Source organism: Homo sapiens, chromosome 12, assembly GCF_000001405.40.
Source record: "Homo sapiens chromosome 12, GRCh38.p14 Primary Assembly".
NCBI classification, from domain to species: Eukaryota; Metazoa; Chordata; class Mammalia; order Primates; family Hominidae; genus Homo; species Homo sapiens.
Window position 1 is genome coordinate 112,733,811 of NC_000012.12, and position 23,828 is coordinate 112,757,638.

At 42.8% G+C, this 23,828-nt stretch overlaps 1 protein-coding gene across 1 annotated transcript in view, besides 1 other annotated feature; it reads left to right on the plus strand.

Moving 5' to 3' along the window:
* Window positions 1-23,828, plus strand: part of RPH3A (rabphilin 3A) — a 323,646-nt gene that overhangs the window by 158,575 nt on the left and 141,243 nt on the right. The gene's annotated exons all lie outside the window — the stretch shown is intronic.
* Window positions 14,047-14,547: an enhancer, noted in NCBI's record as "NANOG-H3K4me1 hESC enhancer chr12:113185662-113186162 (GRCh37/hg19 assembly coordinates)". NCBI's record gives its function as "activates a minimal SCP1, AML or CMV promoter by ChIP-STARR-seq in primed H9 embryonic stem cells {active_cell/tissue: H9 hESC(primed)}" and the evidence as "EXISTENCE:reporter gene assay evidence [ECO:0000049][PMID:30033119]".

Consider the following 23,828-nt stretch of genomic DNA (forward strand, 5'->3'; position numbering starts at 1 on the left):
GATCTGGATGACTTTTCCTTTCCTTCTACCTTTTCCTCATGTGGTTTCATAATTTCTAGCAAAGAATAGGAGAGTGTAAAAGGTCATGCAGCTTTAGGTGGCTCTGGTAACAATAGTATTATTACTATGTTAATCTATTGAATGTTTATTAAGTGCCAACCACTGTACTAAGGAATTTACATCTGTGGCCTCTACACAGCTCTTTGAATTAGATATCTTATTATTCTCATTATACAGATGAAAAAAACGAGGTCCAAAGGGGGAAGTCACTTGCCCAAGTACAGTCATGAGCTGCATAATGATGTTTTGGTCAAAGATGGACCTCATATATGATGGTGGTCCCATAAGATTGTACTACCATATTTTTAGTGTACCTTTGCTATGCTTAGATATGTTTAGATACACAAATGCTTACCATTGTGTTACAATTGCCTACAGTGTTCAGGACAATAACATGCTGTGCAGGTTTATAGCCTAAAAGCAATAGGCTCTACCCTATAACCTAAGTGTGTAGTCAGCTATACCTCTAGGTTTGTGTGAATACACTCTATGATGTTCACACAATGACCAAATTGCCTGAGAGCACATTTCTCAGAACATATTCCCATCATTACGTGACGTGTGACTGTACATGGCGAATATCAGTCCAAGTGTTACCAGAAAGGGGTCCTAATCCAGACCCCAAGAGAGGGTTCTTGGATCTTGCTTAAGAAAGAATTAAGGGTGAGTCCATAAAGCGAAAGCAAGTTTATTAAGAAAGTAAAGGAGTAAAGAATGGCTACTCCATAGGCAGAGCAGCAGCTTGGGCTGCTGGACTCAGGATATTTATTTCTTGATCATATGCTAAACAAGGGGTGGATTATTCGTGAGTTTTCTGGGAAAAGGGTGAGGAATTCCCAGAACTGAGGGTTCCTCTCCTTTTTAGACCATATAGGGTATCTTTCTGACTTTGCCATGGCATCTGTAAACTGTCATGACACTGGTGGGAGTGTCTCTTAGTATGCTAATCCATTATAATTAGTGTATAATGAACAGTGAGGACAACCAGAAGTCCCTTTCGTCACCATCTTGGTTTTGGTGGTTTTAGCTGGCTTCTTTACTGTATGCTGTTTTATCAGCAAGGACTTCGTGACCTGTATCTTGTGTTGACCTCCTATCTCATCCTGTGACTCAGAATGCCTAACCTCCTGGGAGTGCAGCTTAGTAGGTCTCAACCTTATTTTACCCAGCCCCTATTCAAGATGGAGTCACTCTGGTTCGAACACCTCTGACACAAGCTCCCAAACCGAAACTCTTCTCTGACTGCCATTTGCAGTCCTGGGTGTCACAGAGCAGAGATAACAGCCTCGGGAAAATCGCCCAAGGAAGAAACACAATTTAAGAGCTTAGTATCGATTATCCTGGCTGACAGCAAAAATGGCCAATGGCCGGATTCACTGGGAGGTTAAACTCTGGGAAGCTGTAAGGCTTGTAAATTCCACTGGGACCCTAAAGCACTTTGCAGGGAAGTCAATAGAAACAAAAGGAAAAGGCATGGAGAGATGTTGGGGAGAGAAGCTTAGAAACTTAATTTTGAGTGTGTGAGCCTCTAAGAACTCAAATTAGGTAGTCTTCTTACCTCCCTCATTAAACCTAGCAGAAAAAAGCCTCTTCCAGATAAAAATGTCTAGAAATGCCCCAGGGCAGAGGTTTGGAAACCTGCTGTGCTCTTGCCTGCTGGAGTTAAGATTTCGGAGGGAGGACATGCCTTCGTTACTGCCATGTCAGCGGAGGCTAATTGTTTTTTGAATCTGTGCCTGGCAGAGCCTGGGATGGAGAATGACACTTTGCACTTGAGCCTGCCAGAGTTAGGCACCCAGAATTTAGGGTTCACTAGACGCTGGGACAGAGATGGTGTGGAGCAGCCTGGCTTCATGGTGTCCTGACCTTGGTCTTCCCCACCTCCCCCCAAGCCTTTCTTCAGTTCTGACCTGCTCATTGTCCACTCTGCTCAAATACCTTAAGTGGCTCCTCATTGCTTAGAGGATGAAATTTAGGCTGCTCCATGGACCCACTGGGATCTATTCCTACCCTACTTTATTACTCATGCTACACGATTCCCATTTGAGAGAACATTGTTCCCATTGTTCCCTGGGAGGACATCCTGAGACATGTTCTCTAAACGTGCCTTGCCCTTTACTTTCTTCTTGACTTTGCATAGGCTGTTCCCTCTGCCTGGAATGCTTTTCCCCCTCTTCTAAACCCCTACACATCCTTAAAAGCCCAGCTCAAATTTGTCTTGACTTTGACTCATTTACAGTGGGGTTTCTCAACCTTACCACGTTTTGGACACTTCTTGGTTGTGGGAGCTTTCCTGGGCATTGTAAGATGTTGTGTACTACCCCTGACCTCTATGCACGAGATTCTAGTGGCACTACCCCCACCAGTTGTGACAACTGAAACTGCCTCCAGACATTGCCCAATGTCCCTGAGGGACAAAACCACCTCTGTTTGAGAACCATTGCTTAGCCAGTGTTTAGCAGCTTCTTCATTGTTTACCTGACACCTTGTCCAGGGGATCTTGTCTCACTGTGTTGTACTTATTTGCCTTCTGACTGTCCCCTCACTGGACCAAAAGCTCCTTCAGGCTGGGACTTTGTCTTCTTCAGCATCTTGCATTGGCCTGGCACATAGTAAGTGCTGCATAAATATTTGGTGAACACATGGAGAAATGAGACACGGAGTGTGAGCACTGCAGCTGTCTAGAAATGTGCTATTTCATAAAGCCAAGGGCAATTAACGACCCTTGGGATAAGAACAGTGACCACCTCATGGGACTGTGCATATTAAATGCCTTAAAGATTTAAAGCTGTCAGAATAGGGCTGACGCATACTAGGTGCTTAATATATGTCAGCTACTGTTGTTGTTGTTATTTTTCTCACTCTGGGGCTCTCTCTTTCAGAAAGGCTTGCAATTTGAGGGTAACCAATGGCAGGCAGACATGGATAGGTGGACATAGTGGGGGAATCTCTCTTGAGGCTCAACATATGTAAATTTAGGCTACTTAAAGAAAAGTACTTCTGGCCGGGCACAGTGGCTCATGCCTGTAATCCCAGCACTTTGGGAGGCCAAGATGGGAGGATCACTTGAGCCCAGGAGTTCAAGACCAGCCTGGGCAATATAGTGAGACCGAGTCTCTACAAAAAATACAAAAATTATCTGGGCATGGTGGTGCACACTTGAGATCCTAGCTACTCAGGAGGCTGAGGTGGAAGGATGGCTTGAGCCTGGGAGGTGGAGGTTGCAGTGAGCCGAGATTGTGCTACTGCACTCCTACCTGGGTGACAGAATGAGACCCTGTCTCAAAAAAAAAAAAAACAAAATAAAAAAAAAACAAACAAAAGCTACTTCTTTATAAAGTGAGTTGTTAATAGATATTATGCTAAGGGATGAATATACAGACATAGTGGATGAGATTGAGGACTGTGGACCAGACTGTTTGAGTTGGAATCTTGAGTCCATGGCTCACTTAGCCTCAGTTTCCCCACTTGTAAAATGGGGATAATAATATGTACCTTATAGGGTTATTATCAAGGTGGAATGAATTCATGTATATAAAACAACACATAGTAAGACTCTATGAGTCTATCACCATCATTATTATTATTATTTTTAGATGTATTCTTGAATGATAGCTCCCAAATGGATCTTCCCCAAAGGGAATCTGGAATATTCGAGGACTGTTTGGATAGCATAGACATGCCATGACTTCCCATTTCAATCCCAGACAGACATGGCTAGTTGATCCTGCAGTTTTTTTCCCCTCTGAGCCATAGACTCCTCCTCCAGGCAGCCACCACTAATCAATTACGGTATGAACACTGTTTGCATCATTATCCTTAGGGATCACCATTAAGTACTGGGGGAAGGTGCATAGACCCAGGGTTAAGGACGTGAAGAAGAGTTTCCCTGGACCGAGTCCAATAACTGGAAAAAGACTGGGCCTAAATCCACACAGAGAGCTACTAAAAGTGTTGTCCATGACCGGTGCTGGTCCGTAAACTGTTGCTGGTCTGTGAGGAGCTAAGTACCAAAATTGTTATTAGTGTCTTACTTTCCTGAGGCTGCTTTAATAAGTTACCACAAACTGGGTGGCTTAAAACAGCAGAAATGTATTCTTACAGTTCTGAAGTCTGAAATGGAGCAGCAGTGAGGGCTGTGCTCCCTCTGAGACTTTGGAGAAGTCCTTCCTGGTTTCTTTCAGCTTCTTTTGGTTCCCAGCAATCCTTGGCATTGCTAGTCTCGTAGCTTTGCCTCAAATCTCTGCCTTTATCATCACGTATCCTTCTTCCTTGTGTATATCTCTGTGTGTTCATTCCTCTTCTTTTATAGTTAGTTAATTAATTAATTTTTTTTTTTAGAGACAGGGTCTCACTCTGTCACCCAGGCTGGAGTACAGCTGTGTGATCTCAGCTCACTGCAGCCTCAACCTCCTAGGCCCAAGAGATCCTCCCACCTCAGCCTCCCGAGTAGCTGGGACTACAGGCGTGCATCACTCTTTCCTTTTCTTATAAGGACACACATTTTTGGGTTTATGGCCCACCCTGATCCAGTATGTCCTCATCTTAACTAATGACATCTGCAGATACCTTATTTCCAAATAAGGTCACATTCTGAAATTCCTGGTGGACATGCATTTTGCAGGGGGTACTACTTAACCCACTAAGGGAGTAAGCACTTTCTAGACCACATTTTGAGCAGAATTTAGATGGTTCTATTCTCTGCCATCACCACTGCATGGGTGTAGAAGGGGGCGGGAAGGGTCCCCTGGAAGGTGAGTGGTGGTGTTTTTTGTTTGGGGAGCTGCACTACCTCCAGCTCAATCAAAAAGAGCAGATGACTCACCGGATGGTTTTGTGCTGAACAAATTAAACCCGTCCCATCACAGCAGAGCAGTTCAGCCAACTCCATGCTGAACTTGTGCCCATATCATACATTTCATAATCCTAATTGTGGCTTGCATTTCCCTTTTGCCTTCCAAACCAAAGGCTCATCATAACAGATCTGCAAGCCCTGGGAGTTGGGTTTGTTTGCCTAGGTATTTGGTTTTCTCTCTTTTTTCCCCTAATGAATAATTTTCTAATGAAAGCAAAGTAGGGTCGCAGTATGAGGTAGATGCATGCACGAAGGAGAAGAGGCCAGAATAAACAGACTTTGCAGGATCTCCAGGTATTCCTTCCCAGGGAGCAGCTTGTAACTGTTAATGAACTTGGATAGGTTTGCTTGAAAGCCAAGAGGTCTCTGAGAGAATGCCCAGGATAGCTTTGAAGATGTGATTGAGGAATTCACATTTCTTCTCTGCCAACCCTGCCTCCTCAAGAGGACACCCAGCTTGTAAGTGAAGTGATAGTTCTGTGAGTTAAATGAGAAATCTGTAGGTTACATAATGTTGTTGATGGCAATGGTAGGAATTAGGTCTATTTTTTTTGAACACCTGCATGAACTCAACTGCTCTCTAAATTTTAGATCAACTTTGTGAAGTGTATAATTCTATCCTCCATTTTCCAGTGGAGGAAACTGAGGCTTAGGGAGGTGAAGTCATTTGCTTAAAATCACACGAGGAGCCGTCACCTGAGCTGGGGTTGGAACTCGTGCCTGTGGAAACTCATGCCCTTATGCCTGCCCTTAACAGGGAACAATGCCCAGAATTTGAGAAGGTCATCTGGCCTCCCCCATTTCCATATGGAATGACAGGTGTCACCTTGAAGAAATTTAGAGTTGGCTGTTACATTCTTCCATGAAAGGAGCTGTGGTTTATTTGCTTTTGGATTAGACCTGGGTTCAAATTCTGGCTAAGGCACTTACCAGCCGTCCTGGTCTTGGCCTTATTTATCTGTCCTCTGTTCTTTTCTGATTACAGGGGCCACATCCCTACAGCCCACATCTTCCACACTTCTTTGTCACTTGGCTTCCTGCTGGGTTTGTCCAGTGGGAGGCAATGGCATTACAGGAGAAGGCAGAAGGAAGGAAAGACCAAGGAATTTCTTCCCCTCCCTCTCTGCCTCTGGAAGGTTTGTTGACTCTTCCAAGTTTCCAGCTTCTACTGGGTGACACTGGCCCCAAGGCTCTAGGAATCCTACCTTCTCCCTTCATCCCCCCCCAGCCTTGGGTAGTAACCACTTTCTGCTGTTGCTAGTCTCTGGCTGGCCTCACCCTCCCTTATAGCCTCAGCTCCCTCCTTACCCATGTAACCAATCCCCTGCATTAAATTCTCTCTGTCGTAAATACTTGAAACAGTTTCGGATTTCTTGATTTGATTTTGACCGAGACACCAGCTAAGTTGACTGCTTCTTTTAGCCTTGATTTCCCTATCCGTAAAATGGAGATAATAATAGTACCTTCTACCTAAGGTATTTGTGAGGATCAAATGAGTTAATTTTAGTTAAACCCTTGGCTCAGTTTCTGGCATATAATAAAAAGTTTTCCCAGCTTGGAGACCTTAGGCATGCATTTCCCGCAACAATTTAAGCAGCATAATGAATTCTATAGTTAGCCAGAGAGCTTTATTTTGTTTCACTTTTTTGAAAAGTGTTGGTTCTGGGTATGCATATTAATGAATATCACCAGAAAAATACACTCCAGTGACTAAGCCTGGGAACTTAGTCTAACAGCTTTTGCCCTTCTCTCTTCCTCCTCTCTTTCACCTCAAGGAGTGGGCAAGCCAGCACCTTTTCTCAGCACCATGCATAGCCAAGTGGATGCAGAGAAAATGCTGAACTTTCAGAATTTCTTGAGGTTCCTGAAAGCCTCTGTGTCATCATGAAACAGAAGCTCATCTTACAAATCTGTCTTTCATAGAAGCTTCAGTTACTGATGCCAAATGTCAACATATCAAATTGTTGGCTAATTTTAGCCTTATCAATGTCTTGCAGACATGTAATTAACACCACAGTTCAGCAGCAATTCAGGCGCGGAGTTCCATTTTGCATCATGATTTTCGAGACCTTGACCATTAGTGCTAAGGTTCAAAGTCTGAAAGTGCCATCTCCATATGGGATGTCTCCTGTTCCTCCACACCTCCACTTGTCCTTTTAAAATCAGAATCAAAATGGTCCAAGCTCCCATTTCATGTATTGTAGGATGTCCAGTGCCTTCTTGGATATACCTGGGAATCTCAGAGGGCTTTTGCACTCCCAGTCACTTCTCGTGTGGAATTCTAGATGGGTCCATGTGGTGGATGGTGTCTTGCCTCCTGAAGCTGTTGTTTCCTCTTCATCTTACTTTAAACATTGCCCACCCCCTGCCTCAGAACATCCCCAGATGTTCTGGCAACTTCTGTGTAGTAGGCTTTTACTGAAGGCTTGAAAATGGCTGAGCTGGACAATGGCTCAAAACAAAACAGAAAACAAGTTAAAATGGAATAGTCAACACTGTACATTTCCTTAGCCTCTCCCACCGTAGGAATTTTCTCATCAATTGCCTTTCCTGTTGGGCTCCCCTGTGCTGCCATATGGCTGGGGCTTTTCACTTCCTCCAGCTCTCTTATCTCAGCTTCTCTCATTTTGGATTGCTCCTTAATCTTGTCTAGTGACCCATCAATCTCCAGACTCCAAATTCACACTACTTTTGTATAGAGGGTAAAAACATTTTTGTTCTTTCCCTCCCACTAGAATTCCTTGTAGACATAGAGCTGTCTTTGTTTAGAAGACCGCTTTAATGAGAGTTTGGGGAGAGAGTGAGCTTTCGACCCCCATGTCACCGGTCTCACTCCAAAGCATCAAAGACAGTGGAAGGGGATAGAGATGGGAGGAGAAGAGAGGCCTCAGAAAGTTGGAGAGAGAGAGCTGTGTGAGATAAAGTAGCAAATGTAAGAAGCCATGTCTGCTCATTTCTGCTTGCCAGCCTAATGTCAGAAGCCTCTGACTCTGTGATGACACCCATCTCTCTGGAAACATGTGTTGAAGACAAAAGAGGATACAGCACACAGGCCCCCCATGTCTTTTGCCTGAGTCACTACATTCCTTAAAAGATAAGTGACCCTAGTCCTTGCCTTTTCCTACACATAAGATATCATCTGATGGGGTTAGCGATTGTGCCTCTATAATCTATAACCAGATGTACTCTTACATCCAACTTGGATGTGATTTTGCACGTACTAAACCTCTACCACCTGTATATAAGCAGTGCGCTAAAATACTGCACCAGAGCAGTCTGATAGAGCTCTCTAAAGGACTGTTCCCAGGCTATAGGCTTCCTTCAGTCCACAGTCCTCAGTAAGACTTCTGAATAAAGCTAACTTTAATTCTTTAAGAGCTTGATTTTTTTCTCTAGTTGACACCTGGGAGAGTTGAAAGTCCAAGCGAGATCCCAGGAGAAATTTTGGGATTGGTGATGTTTACAGTGTCCATCAGCCATTGTTCATGTTGCCATGATAGATGTCTCTTCTTTGGGCCCCCTGTGGAATATTCAGTTAAAGAGAACATTATTAAGGCATTCTTGCTGTGGGTAGACTCTTCCGGGAAATTGGAGAGGAAATGTTGTATACGAAGTTCATGTATCTGAAGAAGCATCCACAGCAGCAGGAGCCACGGCACCGAGACGGCCATGAGGAAATCAGCTTTTGAGACATGAGGAAATGTAGGGACAAGACTGTTCTGGAATGTGCAGATATTTAGGAGTTGAGCTTTGGGACTTCATTAGGCAGTGAGATTGATGAGAGCTGAGGTTCCAGCAGGAAACAGTTGGCATTCTCAGACTGGGTTATTTGAGGAGAATTTAACTCAGGGCTGTTTTCGAAACAATGAATACAGTCCAGGGAAACCAACAAGAAATAGTGGAGGATCCTGGGGCTGCTGTCAGGGCTGGGGGAGAAAGTCAGGTTTATTGCTGGGTAAATGCTGCACCTGACATCCCAGCATGGTGAGGACCAAAGGAGCTTGGGGTGGCACATGGCTTGTGTATTAGCTTCTTATGGCTGCTGTAATAAATTACTACAAACTTAGTTGCTTGAACTAATACATATGCATTATCATCTTATGACTGTGAAGATCAGCAGTCCAGAATGGGCCTCAAAGGGCTAAAATCAAGGTGTTGGCAGGGCTGTGTTCCTCCTGGAAGCTCTAGGGGAGGAGAATTTGCTTTCCTGCCTTTTCCAGCTTCTAGCGGCTGCACATATTCCTCAGCTCCTTGTCCCCATGCAATCCTATCCCTCCAACCTCTTGCTTCTGCCATCCCGTGTCCTACTTCCTCTTCTGTAGTCAAATCTCCCTCTGCCTCTGTCTTATTCAGACACTTGTGATTACACTTAAAGTTCCCTCCAGATAATAGAGAATCATCTCTGCATCTTGACATCTGACAAATCCCATCTTGCAAGTTCTCTTTGGCTGGGTAAGGTAACATAGTCACAGGTTCTGGGGATTAGGACGTAGACCTCTTGGGGGTGGGTGGGGAGGAGCAGCAGTATTCTGCCTACCGCAGCGTGGAACACTCCAGGCTCCGCATTTGTTCACTGTGGTTCCCACAGGCAGACCAAACCACATCACCTTTGCTGCAGGAGCAACTCTAGATGTGCCACTGGGTATCAAGCATCCCACCTGCAATATTTGTTTCCCATCAGAGAGATGCAGGGGTTTTTCCATAGAGACTACACTTGGAGAAACCCAGCTCCACACCGTCTGGTGTTGCTCACTCTGCAAGCATGTCTGCTCCCTGGCTACTGTGTACGCTGCTAAAAACAAAGCCAACAAACTCTTCTCTGTATCCTCCCAGCAGCCTCATGGGGAATCGCACAGGGTAGGCGCTCGGTAAATGTTGTGGCTCATCAGTCTTCTTACAGGACTGTTTTGAGTAGTTGGGCTGGATGAAGTACATCTTGAATAGGAGTTTAGGGTTTTTTTTTCCCCCCAAGGGCAATAGGGAGTCACTGAAGGTGTCAAGTAAGAGCATGACAAGATTTGTGGCAAGAAATGGAAAAAGATTTGATGTTCCAGTAAGAGGAGGCTTTGGGCAAATATGTGGAGATAGGATTTTTGAAAATACAGGTTTGGGGACTGCTAAGATTTCATGGGGTGATGTGGGCAAGATTTTCTTCTGATTTGCCTCCATCAACACTTTATAATTGTGTACACACACGCTTTCACCCTCAGGCTCTGAGCCTGATTATCTTTGTAACCCCCACAGTGTAGCACTGGCCTGGCACATAGTAGGCGTTAATTAAAATTTTGGTGAGTCATACTGAACTTGGCAAGCCACTTGACCTTGACTGTTCCAGGCTTCAGTTTTCTTTCTTTCTTTCTTTTTTTCCAAGACAGAGTCTTGCTCTGTAGCCCAGGCTGGATTGCAGTGGTGCGATCTCGGCTCACTGAAACCTCTGTCTCCCAGGTTCAAGCAATTCTCATGCCCCAGCCTCCCGAGTAGCTGGGATTACAGGCACCTGCTACCATGCCTGGCTAATTTTTGTACTTTTAGTAGAGACAAGGTTTCACCATGTTGGCCTGGCTGGTCTCAAACTCCTGACCTCAAGTGATCCACCTGCCTTGGCCTCCCAAAGTGCCAGGATTACATGCGTGAGCCACCATACCCGGCCAGGCTTCAGTTTTCTATTTGTAAAACAAAAGAGTGAGACTAGAGCCCTCACAACTCTGACTCCGTGGTATTTAAAATCCTGCTTCTTTTCATGGGCAGCATTTATCTGGAGACCCATGTTTCGGAGGGGAGTTGGGCTGGAAAACTCTGAGGATTTCCGCAGCTCTGGGACTTTTAGATTTATAGCTGCTTGTAACATTTATCAAGAATTTGTGTGTGCCAGAGACTATTCTCAGGCCTTGCAGGGGGTCATCTCATCAACTCTTTGCAGGAGTCCTATAAAGAAAGGCACTATTAGCCCCATTCTACAGATGAGGGAACTGAGGCTCAGAGAGTCAAGGGGGTTGACAAGGTCGCACAGTCAGGGGAGACAGGGCTGGGATTTGAACACAGTTCCCCTGACTCCAGAAACCAGCCTTTACTCTGTGCTCTGATGTTTGGATTCTTCTTTCAGTTTTGTTTCGTTTTGTTTTAACCTCTAAACATCTCAAGCATGTGTATCCCAGGAAAAAAGATATTCTCTTACATTGCCACAGTTCAGTTTTCAAAAGCAGGGAATTTACCATCTCTCCAACATTATCATCTAATCCACAGCTTATTTTCAAAGTGTTTCAACTGTCCCAGTAATCTTCTCTTTATTCTCTGTCCAAGATCTAATCCAGGATTGTGCATTGTATTGAGTTGTCATGTCTTCTTAACATTTCCTCTGGAGCAGTTCTTGGCCTTTCTTTGTTTCTTGACTTTGACATCTTTGACGCTTCCAGGCCTTCAGTGTGAGCTTTCCTGATGCTTCTGTGTGTTTAGATTCAGGTTGTGCATTTTTGGCAGGGATGATGCAGAAATGATCTGAATTCTCCCCAGTGCATTTTATCTGGAGGCACCTGCTATTGGTTTGTCTTATTCCTGGTGAAGTTGATCACTTATGGTTAATACATTTTTCCACTGTAAAGATACAGTTTCCCCCTTTGTAATGAATAAGAGATTTGTGGGGAGATACTTTGAAACTACTAAATATATTGCTATTTATCACACTTTCACTCATTGGTTTTAGCATCCTTTGAGGGTTTTCTAACTCCATCATTCCTTTTGCAGTTCTTAGTTGGCTTAGAGCTTCTCTTCTTCCCACCCTCCATTTATTCATTTTATTCACATTTATGTATATTGACATGGACTCATGGAGCCATTAAAATCCATGTAAGCTGATTTCCCTCTGGTTGTTTTTGCCAGGTGAGCTATTGCTTCCTCATTTGTTCCCAGTGTGAATTCAGCTCATCTTACCATTTGAAAATCCAAAGACTTCAACTGCTTGGAAATCTTCAGTTTTAGCTAGAAAGGAGCAAAATCACAGACTTCTGCCCTAAGGAGGAGGGAGAGGAGTGAGTGGGGAGTCTGACTGCTCACTCCATTCCCATAGCTCATCTTCCAGCAATGGCCATCCTCCAGCAGTGGGGTGCACCACAGGGTCAGGGGAGGTGGCTTCCAATTCTGTGGTTTCCTGGTGGTGGTCATTTCTGTATGTCAGTCTCTCTCCTTCCTCTGTTTGTGATTGTGGAACTGTAGATGCCTCTTTAAGAGGCAGGAGTGTTTATGAGCTTCCCCGAGGAAATCCAGGAAGGTCATTTCAGACTCATCTTGCAGTTTTCTCTTCTTAAAGAGTGAATCCAGATGAGGTTAAGTCCCCTTGCAACCTGTTCTTCCTTGTCAGAGTACTACGTGTGTTTCACATCTTTTTTCTTTCCTCCTTTTCCTCCCTTTTTCCTTCTTACCTTCTTTCATCCCTCCCTCTTTTCCTTTAGCAAATGAATGCTCTTGAACACCTACTATGCGTTCATCCACCAACAAGACAAACACAACCTGCTCTCAAGCTCTCCTGTGGCAAACATACATTAAACAATGTCACAATTAAATGCATGATCACACACTTTGATAAGTGCTGCAACAGAATGTCAGAGGAGGGACGTACATGCTCATGTGACAAATGAAGAAGCAGAGGTACAGACTCCACAGCCACCACCCAGAGTCAGGGAAGGTGTAGAAGCCAGACCTCCAAATACCCACCCTGCCCTCCATCACTCAACCCAAGCCTTAGGTGTTGAGGGAACAAACCTCACCGAGATCTCAGGTGGGCCAAGCATAAGGCTGCTCTCAGGCTAATTAACGATGCCCTTCTTTTATAGGAAAAATTGCTGGAAGTTGTAGGAGAGCAAATATTTACCTTCTCCACCAACCAAAGAGTCAGCTTAAGTAAAATGCGAACATCTGTCTCTTGTGTAAAAAAAGACCTGTGCAGGTGTAGCATCAGAGGAAGGTGGCTCTGCAAGACCTGTCTCCTTCTCTGCCAGGTCTTTCGGCCCTGCTCTCTGTCTCTGTCTGTCTTGGGTCTGTCTCCGGCAGTTTCTCTGCCTCGTGCTCTCTGTGTCTCTGTTTCTGCCAGTCAGCTGCCTCTGTCTCAGTCTCTCTCTGTCTCACCTCTCTCCCCATCTCTTTCCCCAGCCTCCCGTTCTGTGTCCCAGCCAGGATCAATTCTTTGAAGTGTCCCTGGGATGCCACCTTCTTCCACCCTCCCAGCCATTGCAGGTGTTCTTCCACTTTCTGGGAGTGGTTGTGTCTGTGCCCCCTTCCCAAATTTCTGCCTATGTTATTCATCCTTTAGGTCTGAGTTTAAATGTCACCTTATATTTTGAGAATCCTAAACTCCACAAGAGCAAGGATTTTTGTCTTGTTTCCACTGCTTGCTATGGTCTGCAGGTTTGTGTCCTCTCCTTCCTCCCACCTACCATACCACTCCCCACCCCAAATTCCTATGTTGAAATTCTAACCTTCAAGGTTATGGTGTTAGGGTAGTGGGACTTTTGGGAGGTGGTTAGGTCATGGACTGGAGCCCTCATGAGTGGGATTAGTGCTCTTATGAAAGAGGCCCAAGAGAGACCCCTTGCCCTTCCACCATGTGAGGACACAGTGAAAAGACGGCCATTTATGAACCAGGAAGTGGGTCCTCATCAGACATCAAATCTGCTGGTGCTTTGATCTTGGACTTTCCAGCCTCCAGAACTATAAGAAATAAATTTCTGTTATTTTTAAAGCTCTTATGGCATCCTAAACAGACTAAGACAGTGCTGTATCTCTAGTGCCTTTTAATGACATTTCTATGACTATAACTTATTTGCTGATTGAATTAATTGCATCTAGAACAGTGCCTGGCACATAGCAAGTGCTCGGTCAATATTTGTTGAATGAATGAGTAAATGAATCAATAGTAGGTCTGTTCTGATCTCCCTCGATCTGGGTCTGTGCCCCCATAGCACCCTGCCCTACCACTGTCATAGTTCTTATCTCTATTGTAATCTCTTAGTTGTGGCTTAGGCTGCTGTAACAAGACCTCAACAATGATCCGAAGGCATCAGGAATATAGAAGTTTATTTCTTTTATGTGAAACAGTCCAGGGTGACTGCTCCAAGTGAACAAGTGGTCCTTACAGTTATTCATGGACCCATTAGCGTGGACTGACAGCAGCTCTTCCATCCTCAACGCCTGGCAGCCAGGAGCCCCTTCTTGCAGCAGAGGTTAAAGAGCATAGAGAAGCAGCTGGATTTCGGGGGCCAACCTGGAAGAGACACACATGCCTTCAACTCACATTCTGATGGAGACAGGTGGCTCCATCTAACTGCAAGGAAGGCTGGGAAATGCAGTCCAGCGTGTGCCCTGGAAGATGGGGAGAAAAGACTTGCGGGGCAGCTGGCAGCCTCTGCCACATCTGGGTGCCTGCATGAATTGCTCACTGGGCTGTAAGTCCTATGAGGGCAGAGAACATGTCTGTGCAGTCATCCTTGTGTCTCTAGTGCCTGATGCACAGCCTGACTCATTATAGATCCGTAGTTCCCAGACGTGTATGGCTATACATTGGAATCATGCGGAATGTTTAAAACATCCTAATGTTTGGCTTCCACCACCACCCCACTCCCCCACTGTTTTTTTTTGAGACAGCACCTTACTCTCTTGCCCAGGTGGAAGTGCAATGTTGCAATCATAGCTCACAGCAGCCTTAAACTCATGGACTCAAGGGATCCTCCTGCTTCAGCCTCCTGAGTAGCTAGGACTACTGGCACATGCCACCATGCTTAGCTAATTTTTAAATTTTTTGTAGAGATGGGGGCCTTACTATATTGCTCGGGCTGGTCTTGAACTCCTGGCCTCAAGTGATCCTCCCACCTTGGCATCTCAAAGTGTTGGGATGACAGGTATGAGCCACCATGCCTGGCCTGCTCCCACTCTTGAACATTCTTATATAATTGCTATGGTGTGGGACTTTGGCATTGGGATTTTTAAGCTTCCTAGATGGTCCTAATGTGTAGAAAGATTTAGGGACCACTGCCATTGACCCTGAATAAATGAATACATGCATGCCTGAATGACCAGATGTGCCACCAGATGTTGACACACTGTGCCAGAGGCTACGAACTGATATTTTGGGAGATGACATGTTTTGTTTGCCTTGTATGGGGCTTAATTTTTTTTTTTTAATTATGCCAATTCCCAAGATTTAAAAGCTGGAACATGCCATATCATACTTTGGACTTTTGGTCTCTCTTGAAAAATCAGATGATCTGGCAACACTGGGATCCTTGAGGATGCTCTCATGTTCTTCTTTATGTTCACTCTCCATCCCTTCACCCATTTGTTGCCTACCTGGAAGCTGAAAGGCATTTGCATATGATTCTCTCATCTGAGTAACCTTCTGTGCATTATCTCAAGAATTTCAGCTTTTTCTAGAGTCAGGAGAGAGAGAGTGATGTGTTGTCAAGGCCATTCTAGGCTGGGCACTTTTCCTGCCTCTGCCTTCAATCCATTTGATCCAACAGCCCCCAGCCCAGCCCACTGGAAACAGAAATAGATTTTGTTGATTTCGTCAGTGTTCTGGGATGTGGGCAGACAATGTAGTGGGATGAGCTCTGAACCAGGAGTCAGGGTGTGGGGTGCTTCCCTGGGCTTGCATTAACTGAGTAATCTTAGAGACAGGACATTTTTCCTTCCCAGCTCTCATCTGTAAAAGGAGGCAATTGAACTCAATCATCTTTCAGTTCCCTTTCTACTCTCCGACTCTCAGAATTACATCCCATTTTAAAGATTCAGCGTTTTCTCCTTTGAGAAGGGTCATTTCTGAGGTAGAAATCTGCCTGGTTTATGACTCGTCCCTGAAATAAAGATACTGACACATCTTTTCCTGATAGAAATCAGCCATTTGCCAGTGCTGTATCCAACCATGCAAAGCTATATGGCAATTAATTAAATCAGTAAATAAATTATTGTCATACAAATCCCATTAACAGGTGAGAAAGGAGAGATTACATCTTTTAGAAGAGAGCTTAAACATTAATGTCTGCCTTCTTTAAAGAAGAGCTTATTTTTTATCTCTCAACCAGACTAATAGTTTGTTTATAGCAAATGCTCCCAGAAAGAGATATATTAAAAACCCTGATTCACCATGGGCTGAATTAGAGTTCTCTCTTTTTGTTTTTGTTTTTTTTGTTTTTGAAGGAACCTCACCAAGGAGTCCAGATGTCTGTATCTGCAGGAAAGCATCTCTATGGGATGCTTAATAATGCATTCCTGTCTGGTCACTGTTGAGGTAGTTGTGCATGCAAAGTGGTTTCCAAACGAAGGGGGCCTCCTTTCTCCTTCACACTGAAGGTGAAGGAGATAGCTTGGAGGTAGATATGGTTCTCTCATCAGCAGGGAGAGCCACTGCATGAACATCTATTATAAGCCTTACAGCACTGCAATTTTATCTTTGTAGAATGTGCCTAAACTAGACAAAGGCCACGAGTAATAATGCAGTGGACTTTGTAGTTGTCTCACTGTCTTAGTTTGGGTTCCTACGAAATAGACCCCCAAGTCAGAGATCCAAGTGTAAGTGGTTTATTGGGAATGTGGTCCCAGGAAACACTAGGAGGGGAGTGGGGACATGAGAAAGTAAGAGAAGGGAGACAAATAGGGTGAGTCACCAACCCAGTTACTACTGAGGACAACTGGAGCTTAATCCCACTGGGCAAACCTGAGAGCCACTGTAGAACATGCACCTCAGTTGTTCCATCTAAGGAGTGAGGGAGCTGGGGTATTTATGCACCTACTCTATCATCATTGGTTGAAGGTTGCTCCTTAGGTATATTAATTCCCTGATACTTCTCCTTGACATGAGTGAGAGTAGAGAGGCCAATAGGGTGCACTGCAATGGTAAGGCCCAAGAGATGGGTGGTATGTAAGAGAGGATGCTGCTATGTCCAATATCCAACTCCCCTCTTGAAACATGCCTTAACTTTCGTTCCATGTCTTTCCTATTTAGCTTTTGGAGGATGCTGAATCTACTTTCACTCCAGGATCTAGGTCTAAACTAATTGTTATAATTCTACCCCTGGCCACAGTTATGGGTTCAGGGGGAGCACATGGACAAGTTAGGCCAATGAGGAGCTAGGGGTTCTGAGAAAACTTTCTCATTCTTCTGAGAGGGCATCTAAAGTCAGCCTTCTCTCCCCTTGTATGGACCTGGGGAATTAAAGCACATAGCCTTGGGAGTTGTCGGGGACCATCTTGAAACCATGGAGAGACAGATGGAAGAGGAAGCCAGCACCACAGAAGCCAGGGAAAAGGAAAAAAACCTGAACGTTGGTCTCACCAGTGAGCTGCTGAATCAAGTCATCCTTGACACTTGGCCTTCCTTAGGACTTTTGGTTATTTGAGCCAATGAATCACTTTATTATTTAACCTCATTGTTGAGTTTTCTGTTCCTTGTAACTGCATACTCACTACATGATTCACACACACATGCTCAGCTTGGGCGAGGGAGGTGAAGTGAGGATGTGGGCTTCATCATGCGATGTTGGTGGGATAATGAAATGATGGAACTATCCTGGAAGTCATATGCATAGCAGGCAGTACAGTGCTATGATTGTGAGTTTGCCCTTTGGAAGCAGACAGATCCGTCTTTTGTTCTTGGTTCTGCTGGTTTGTAGTTGTGTGACGTTGAAAGGTTACACACCTCTTTTAGCCTCAGTTTACCTGTCTATAAAATGAAGGATAATAAAAATACCAGCCTTATAGTATTGTTCAGAGGTAAAGGAGTGTGAGGCCTGGCATGAAGTCCATGCTCAACATATGCTAATACTAATTATTATTCCCTTTATGGAGAGAAAATGTGGTCACAAGGATCAGAAGCCTTAAGACTGTGCATAAGAGTCAGATAAATGCCTAAAAATATATGTATGAGGCTGGGCATGGTAGCTCATGCCTGTAATCCCAGCACTTTGGGAGGCTGATGCAGGAGGATTGCTTGAGCCCAGGAGTTTGAACCAGCCTAGGCAACATAGGAAGACCCTGTTCCTATTTTTTAGAAAAGGTTTTTAAATAAAAATATATGTATGAGAATTTTGTTTGTACCACTCTTTAAATTGGCAAAAAATTGGAAGCAGCATAAATTTTTAACCAATTATAGTATGGCTATAGTTTAATAACAGGGGTTATTAAAATGATGATGTGTATGATAATATTGTCATGCAAAGATGCTCTTTACATATTGTAGGACAAAATCAGTAAATTTAAATTTAAAGCAGTAAATAAACATTAGTGCTGCTTTTGTAAGATAGGGTGTGTACCCCAGTGTTAAGATTTGCTCTCTTTGGGGACAGGATGTGGTATTAGGGGTAAGTTTCAAGCCTTTCTTTTCATGTTATTTAGGTATTTAATTATACAATAAGCACATATGACCTTTGTAATCAGAAAATCCCAATCTTTTATATTTTCAAAACACAAACGAGGTCCAATTCTCCTGACTTGCTAAATTATTAAATGCCCCTCAGTTTTCTAAATGTAAGATTCGTTTTCACTATTTCCCACAAATGGTATGGCTCATAGAAAGGATTTTTTCATAACCTTTGTTTGTTTCTCATTACTAGTAATATGTGTCTGTAACAAAAAATTCAATTATAGAAACTTATTACTTAGTTTCTGCATCTTCCACCCTCACCTTGTTACTCACTCCTAAATTCAAAATGTGTGTATTTTTATCTTTTCAATGCATAAACTTATCTCCTGTGTTTATTTTCTATGTATATGCTAATACGTATCTCTTGTATGTCTTCTGTTCAAAACCACAATCATTGGTAAACCACTTCTTTGACTTAACCTTTCAACAAAACAGAAATATTACGTTATATGAGCAGGCAAGTCTTTTTTTTTTTTTTTTTGAGAAGGCAAGTCTCAATTTCAAAAAATAATTTTAAAAAATTTGCTTCTTCAAATCAATAACTAGAATGTATACATATATTTTTCTATTAACATATAATTCATATAAGTAAAAAATACACAGGTCACCAAGTGCAGAATTTGATGAGTTTTGATAAATATGTATTTTTAAAGAAAATAGGGCCATGCTTTATAGACTTCCTTGCGACTTGCTTTTTTCATTTTGCAATATATCTTGAACCTCTTTCCTCATCTCTCCCATTCTCTTAATAGCTGTACAGGTTCCCATCATTGAGACTGTATGATCATTTATTTCCCCAACCCCTTCTAGATGTACATTTGGGTGGTGTCCAGTTTTCTTTTTTTTTTTTTTTTTTTTGCTGTTGTAAACAGTGCAGTGAATATCCTTGTACATCTATCTTTGTGCCCTTGTGGGATAATTTTTCATAGGTGGATTGTTATTGATGTCTAAGCACGATCGATTCAGACTGTTTCTCGTGGAATGTTCAAGAGATGTAATCTCTGTCCTCAGAAAGGCCCCAGCTAGACAAACAAACACGATTCCACTCCTGCTTTTCCATTATGGCCCTGACCTCAGCTTTCATGTCAACCCCTCCCAAAGGTGAGGGATTCTGGGCAGAGCCCACTTCATTAATCCCCAAGTTTCAAATTTTGTACCCACGTCAAATCCTATCCATTCAATCAGGGCAATTTTGGAGTTTGCATTCATCAAAGGAATGCCAGTTCTGTGCTGGGCTCTTCTGGGCTATGAGATACTGTGGTACACACAGGGGAGGCAACAAATAAGGAAACAAGTAATGCAGAAAACTCAGGTGAGCCACTTCCTGAAGCCCCACCTGGTTAACTGCAGAGGGTGATGGGTGCTGATCCTCAGATGCCCTACTTTGCAGTTAGCCCTACCAGCTCTAACTGGAAATGGGGAAAATTTCTCTCTGGTGAAAAATAAAGTATTATTCCTGTTTCTTGCCTGATCTGCAGAGAAGTATGCTCCTTTCTCTTGTTAGACCCAGGAAGGCCCTAAGATTGACGATTTCACAGAAATAAGTCCCAGATTTTTCAGAGGCAACAAAGAATAGTGAAAAGAGCAAGGTCTGGGGGTTAGAAAGATGTAAGTTTGAATCCTAGTTATGATTGGCTGAACAATGGTCCTCCAAAGATGTCTATGCCCTAATTTCTGGAACCTGTGAATATATTATCTTATGTGGCAGAAGGGACTTTGAAGATGCGATAAAGTTAAAGGTTTTGAGGTGGGAAGATTATCATGGATTACAATGATCTTTATACAGGAGAGGCAGGAGGGTCAGAGTTCATAGCAGGAGAAGTGACAATGGCAAGAGAGGCCAGAGTTATGTGCCACCATGAGTCAAGGTGTGTAGGTGTCCTCTAGAAGCTGGAAAAGACGTGGCAATGATTCTCCCCTAGAGCCCACAGAAGGAGTGCAGCGCTGACAATCCATTTGGCTTCTGACTGTCAGAACTGTAAGATAATACATCTGTGTTGTCTTAAGTCACCAAGTTTGTGGTAATTTGTTATAGCAGAAGTAGGAAATTAATTCAGCAGCCTGTCCACTTACTGCTGTGTGATTCTAGACACACTCTTAAACTCTTTGAGCCTCAGTTTATCATCTGTAAAATGAACACCCTCTTCTGTGTGTGTGTGTTTTTAAACAACTGGAAATAAAACATCTAAAGCATCTGCCTTAGTGCCTGTAGTATAATAGGTGCCAAGCAAATAAACAGAAGGCATTCTTATTATGTATTATTGATAATTTAATTCCTCTACACCATAAAAGATTGAAGACATAAGAACACAAACCATGAACCATGAACCAATGACAAAATAGAACTGGAGATTTATATTCAATGAAAAAAATAAGTAAGGGTAGAAATTCGGTTCAAGGAAAAGACCACATGTGTAGGCAATATGGATTTTAGGAATTGTTCCACGTGAGCTTCAAATTTGGCACTGAGTTTCCTGGCTGCCAAAGTGAAAAGGGAGATATGTCAAGTTTTATACTTTTCAATAACAAAGAGAGGGAAGAATCTAATTACCCAAGGAAAGCAAAACTTTTCTTAGTACCATAAGAAATATCTCCCTATATTTTTCCTTTGGCTTGCTTAGTACAAGTACAGTCAGCTAGTTGTGTGATTATCTATTTAAATCTGTCTCCTCTTACTAAACTAATTATTCTCAACCTTGGCTTCACACTAAAACCACCCAGGACCTTTTAAAAATAACAATGCCCGGTTCTGCTTCAAACTAATTACATCTGAATCTCTGGGAGTGGAGCTGACATCAGTATTTTTTAAAAGCTTCCCAGGTGGTTCTGGTGGCAGCCAGGGTTGAAAAAGCACTTTGCTTTATTGTTTTCTCCCTCAAGGTAGTAACTGGATCTGCTTATTGACAACTTTATCCCCAACACCTAGCCTAGTGCCTGGCACTTAGTAGGTCCTCAGTGGGTCTTTTTAATTAATTCTTTTGGCACAGGTAGACTATTCACCTGATTTTTAAAATATCAAAAGGTATACAGTGGAATGTCTTCCTCCTTACCTTTTATTCATCTAGTTCTCACTTCTCCCCAGTCACCTAGTCCAGGGGGTCATTGTTATAGTTTATTCCAGGATAACTTTATGCAAAGATAAGTAAAATTGAATATATATATGTATATACACACACACACACACACACACACACACACACACACACACATACATATGCATACCTTGTTAAATACACACATATGTGTCCGTTTAAGTACTGTTGAGTTATTGGCCCTAATCCTTTACTCTCTGATGGTGTTATACAGGCACACCCTTAACAGAGCTCATGCTAGGTAGAGTGTTCTTTGCACCTTGACTTTGGGCTTGGTCATGTGACTTGCTTTGGCCAATTGGATGTTAGCTGATAACGTTGAGAGTCTTGAAATGTTTTTGTGTGATTGATCTTGCCCTCTTGAGCTCCATGATCCCTCGTGAGAAGAGCATGCCCTGGTTAACTATTATCCCTTCAGCCTGGCCCTTGAATGAAAAGGGAGGAACAGACTAAACAGCACCTGTAGCTTGCAGCTGAGAGAAGAGCCGCCCTGCTGAGCCCTGCCTTTTCATGAGCTCTTATGAAAAATTCCTATCTAGTTGCTATCAGCAGAGCCCCAACTAGCTCTCAGATCTATGAGCATGAGAATAAACAATTACTTTTTAAAAAACTTTTGCAGTGATTTATTAGGCAGCATTACTGGGGGAATGCCATATCCTTTATGCCTTGTTATTTGCTAATATGTCATGTAAATCTTTCTAAATCAGTAAATCTCATCCTATCTTTTAAAAAAGTGGTACATGGGGTAGAGAGTCAAAGGCTGGTTAACTGACACAAAAGTACTGCCAGATAGGAGAAATAAGTGCGAAGAAATATGGGGTGACTATAATTAATAACAATTTATTGTATAGTCTCAAATAACTAAAAGAGAGGATTTTGAATGTTCCCAACACAAAGAAATGATAAATGTTTGAGGTGAGGAATATGCTGATTACCCCTATTTGGTCATTACACATTGTATACATGTGTAATGTATTATTGACATCACACATCACGCTTTTTTTTTTTGAGATGGAGTTTCACTCTTGTTGCCCAGGCTGGAGTACAATGGTGTAATCTCACTCACCACAACCTCCGCCTCCCTGGTTCAAACAATTCTCCTGCCTCAGCCTCCAAAGTAGCTGGGATTACAGGTATGCACCACCACGCCCAGCTAATTTTGTATTTTTGGTAGAGACAGGGTTTCACTTTGTTGGTCAGGCTGGTCTCAAACTCCTGACCTGAGGTGATCCACCTGCCTTGGCCTCCCAAAGTGCTGGGATTACAGGCATGAGCCCACACTTTTTAAAATTAAAATTTTTTTACCCTACTTGCAAGCTAAAATATCACACTCTACACCATAAATATGTACAATTATGATATCTAAATTAAACATAATAAAAGCAAAAAACTCTATAGAATACTATTGTTTGGATACACTAATCACCTATTCAAAGACATCTAGGTTGTTCCCAGTATCTAGCTCTTACACTTCTTCAGTGAATAACCCTGCATCTACATCATTTTGTGCAAGTCCAAACATTTCTTTAGGATAAATTCCCAGAAGAGGAATTGCTGTGTCAAAAAATATATGCATTCATAATTTTGATAGATATTGTCAAATTACACTGCATAGGAACACTCCTACCAGTAATGTCTGAGAATACACAGTTCCCCACAGCCTTGCCAGCAAAAAGTATTATTAACCTTTCCAATTTTTGCCCACCTGATGGGGAAAATACTATTTCAGTGTAGTTTTACTTTGCATTTCTCTTATTTGAGTGAGACTGAGCATCTTTTCAAATGCGTACGAGCCATGTGTGTTTTCTTTTCTATGAACTCTCTATTCATTACCCTTCAGCCATCTTTCTCTTAGATTGTCTTTTTCTTATTGATTCCCTCAATACATATTTGCTGAATAGACAAATGAATGAAATAAAATGAATTTAAATAGAGGACACTGAATACTATGGTTCAACGTCCCAAATAAAACTGGAAAGATGCAAGAACAGATTTGACATGGCTGTGGCTTTTCATCGCGTTCTTTGATAAAAAGCCAAAGATCTCACATTTAAATGCCTTTCCTGATGGACAGCTCTGCAAGAGGCTGAGGTAACAAGGTCCAAGTTAGTAGCCTTCTGCGGCAAAGAGCTGAGAATTTCCAGGGGCTGTCATAGACCTCAGTAGGACATTCAATGGGAGTGGAGGACTACTATAATTAACAATTTATTATATATTCTCAAATAACTAAAAGAGAGAATCTTGAATGTTGCCCAACACAAAGAAATGATAAAAGTTTGAGGTGATGAATATGCTGATTACCCCGATTTGGTCATTACACGTTGTATACATGTATTGAGATATCACACTTTTCAAAATTAAAAAAAATTTTACTCAACTTGCAAGCTAAAATATCACACTGTACCCCATAAATATG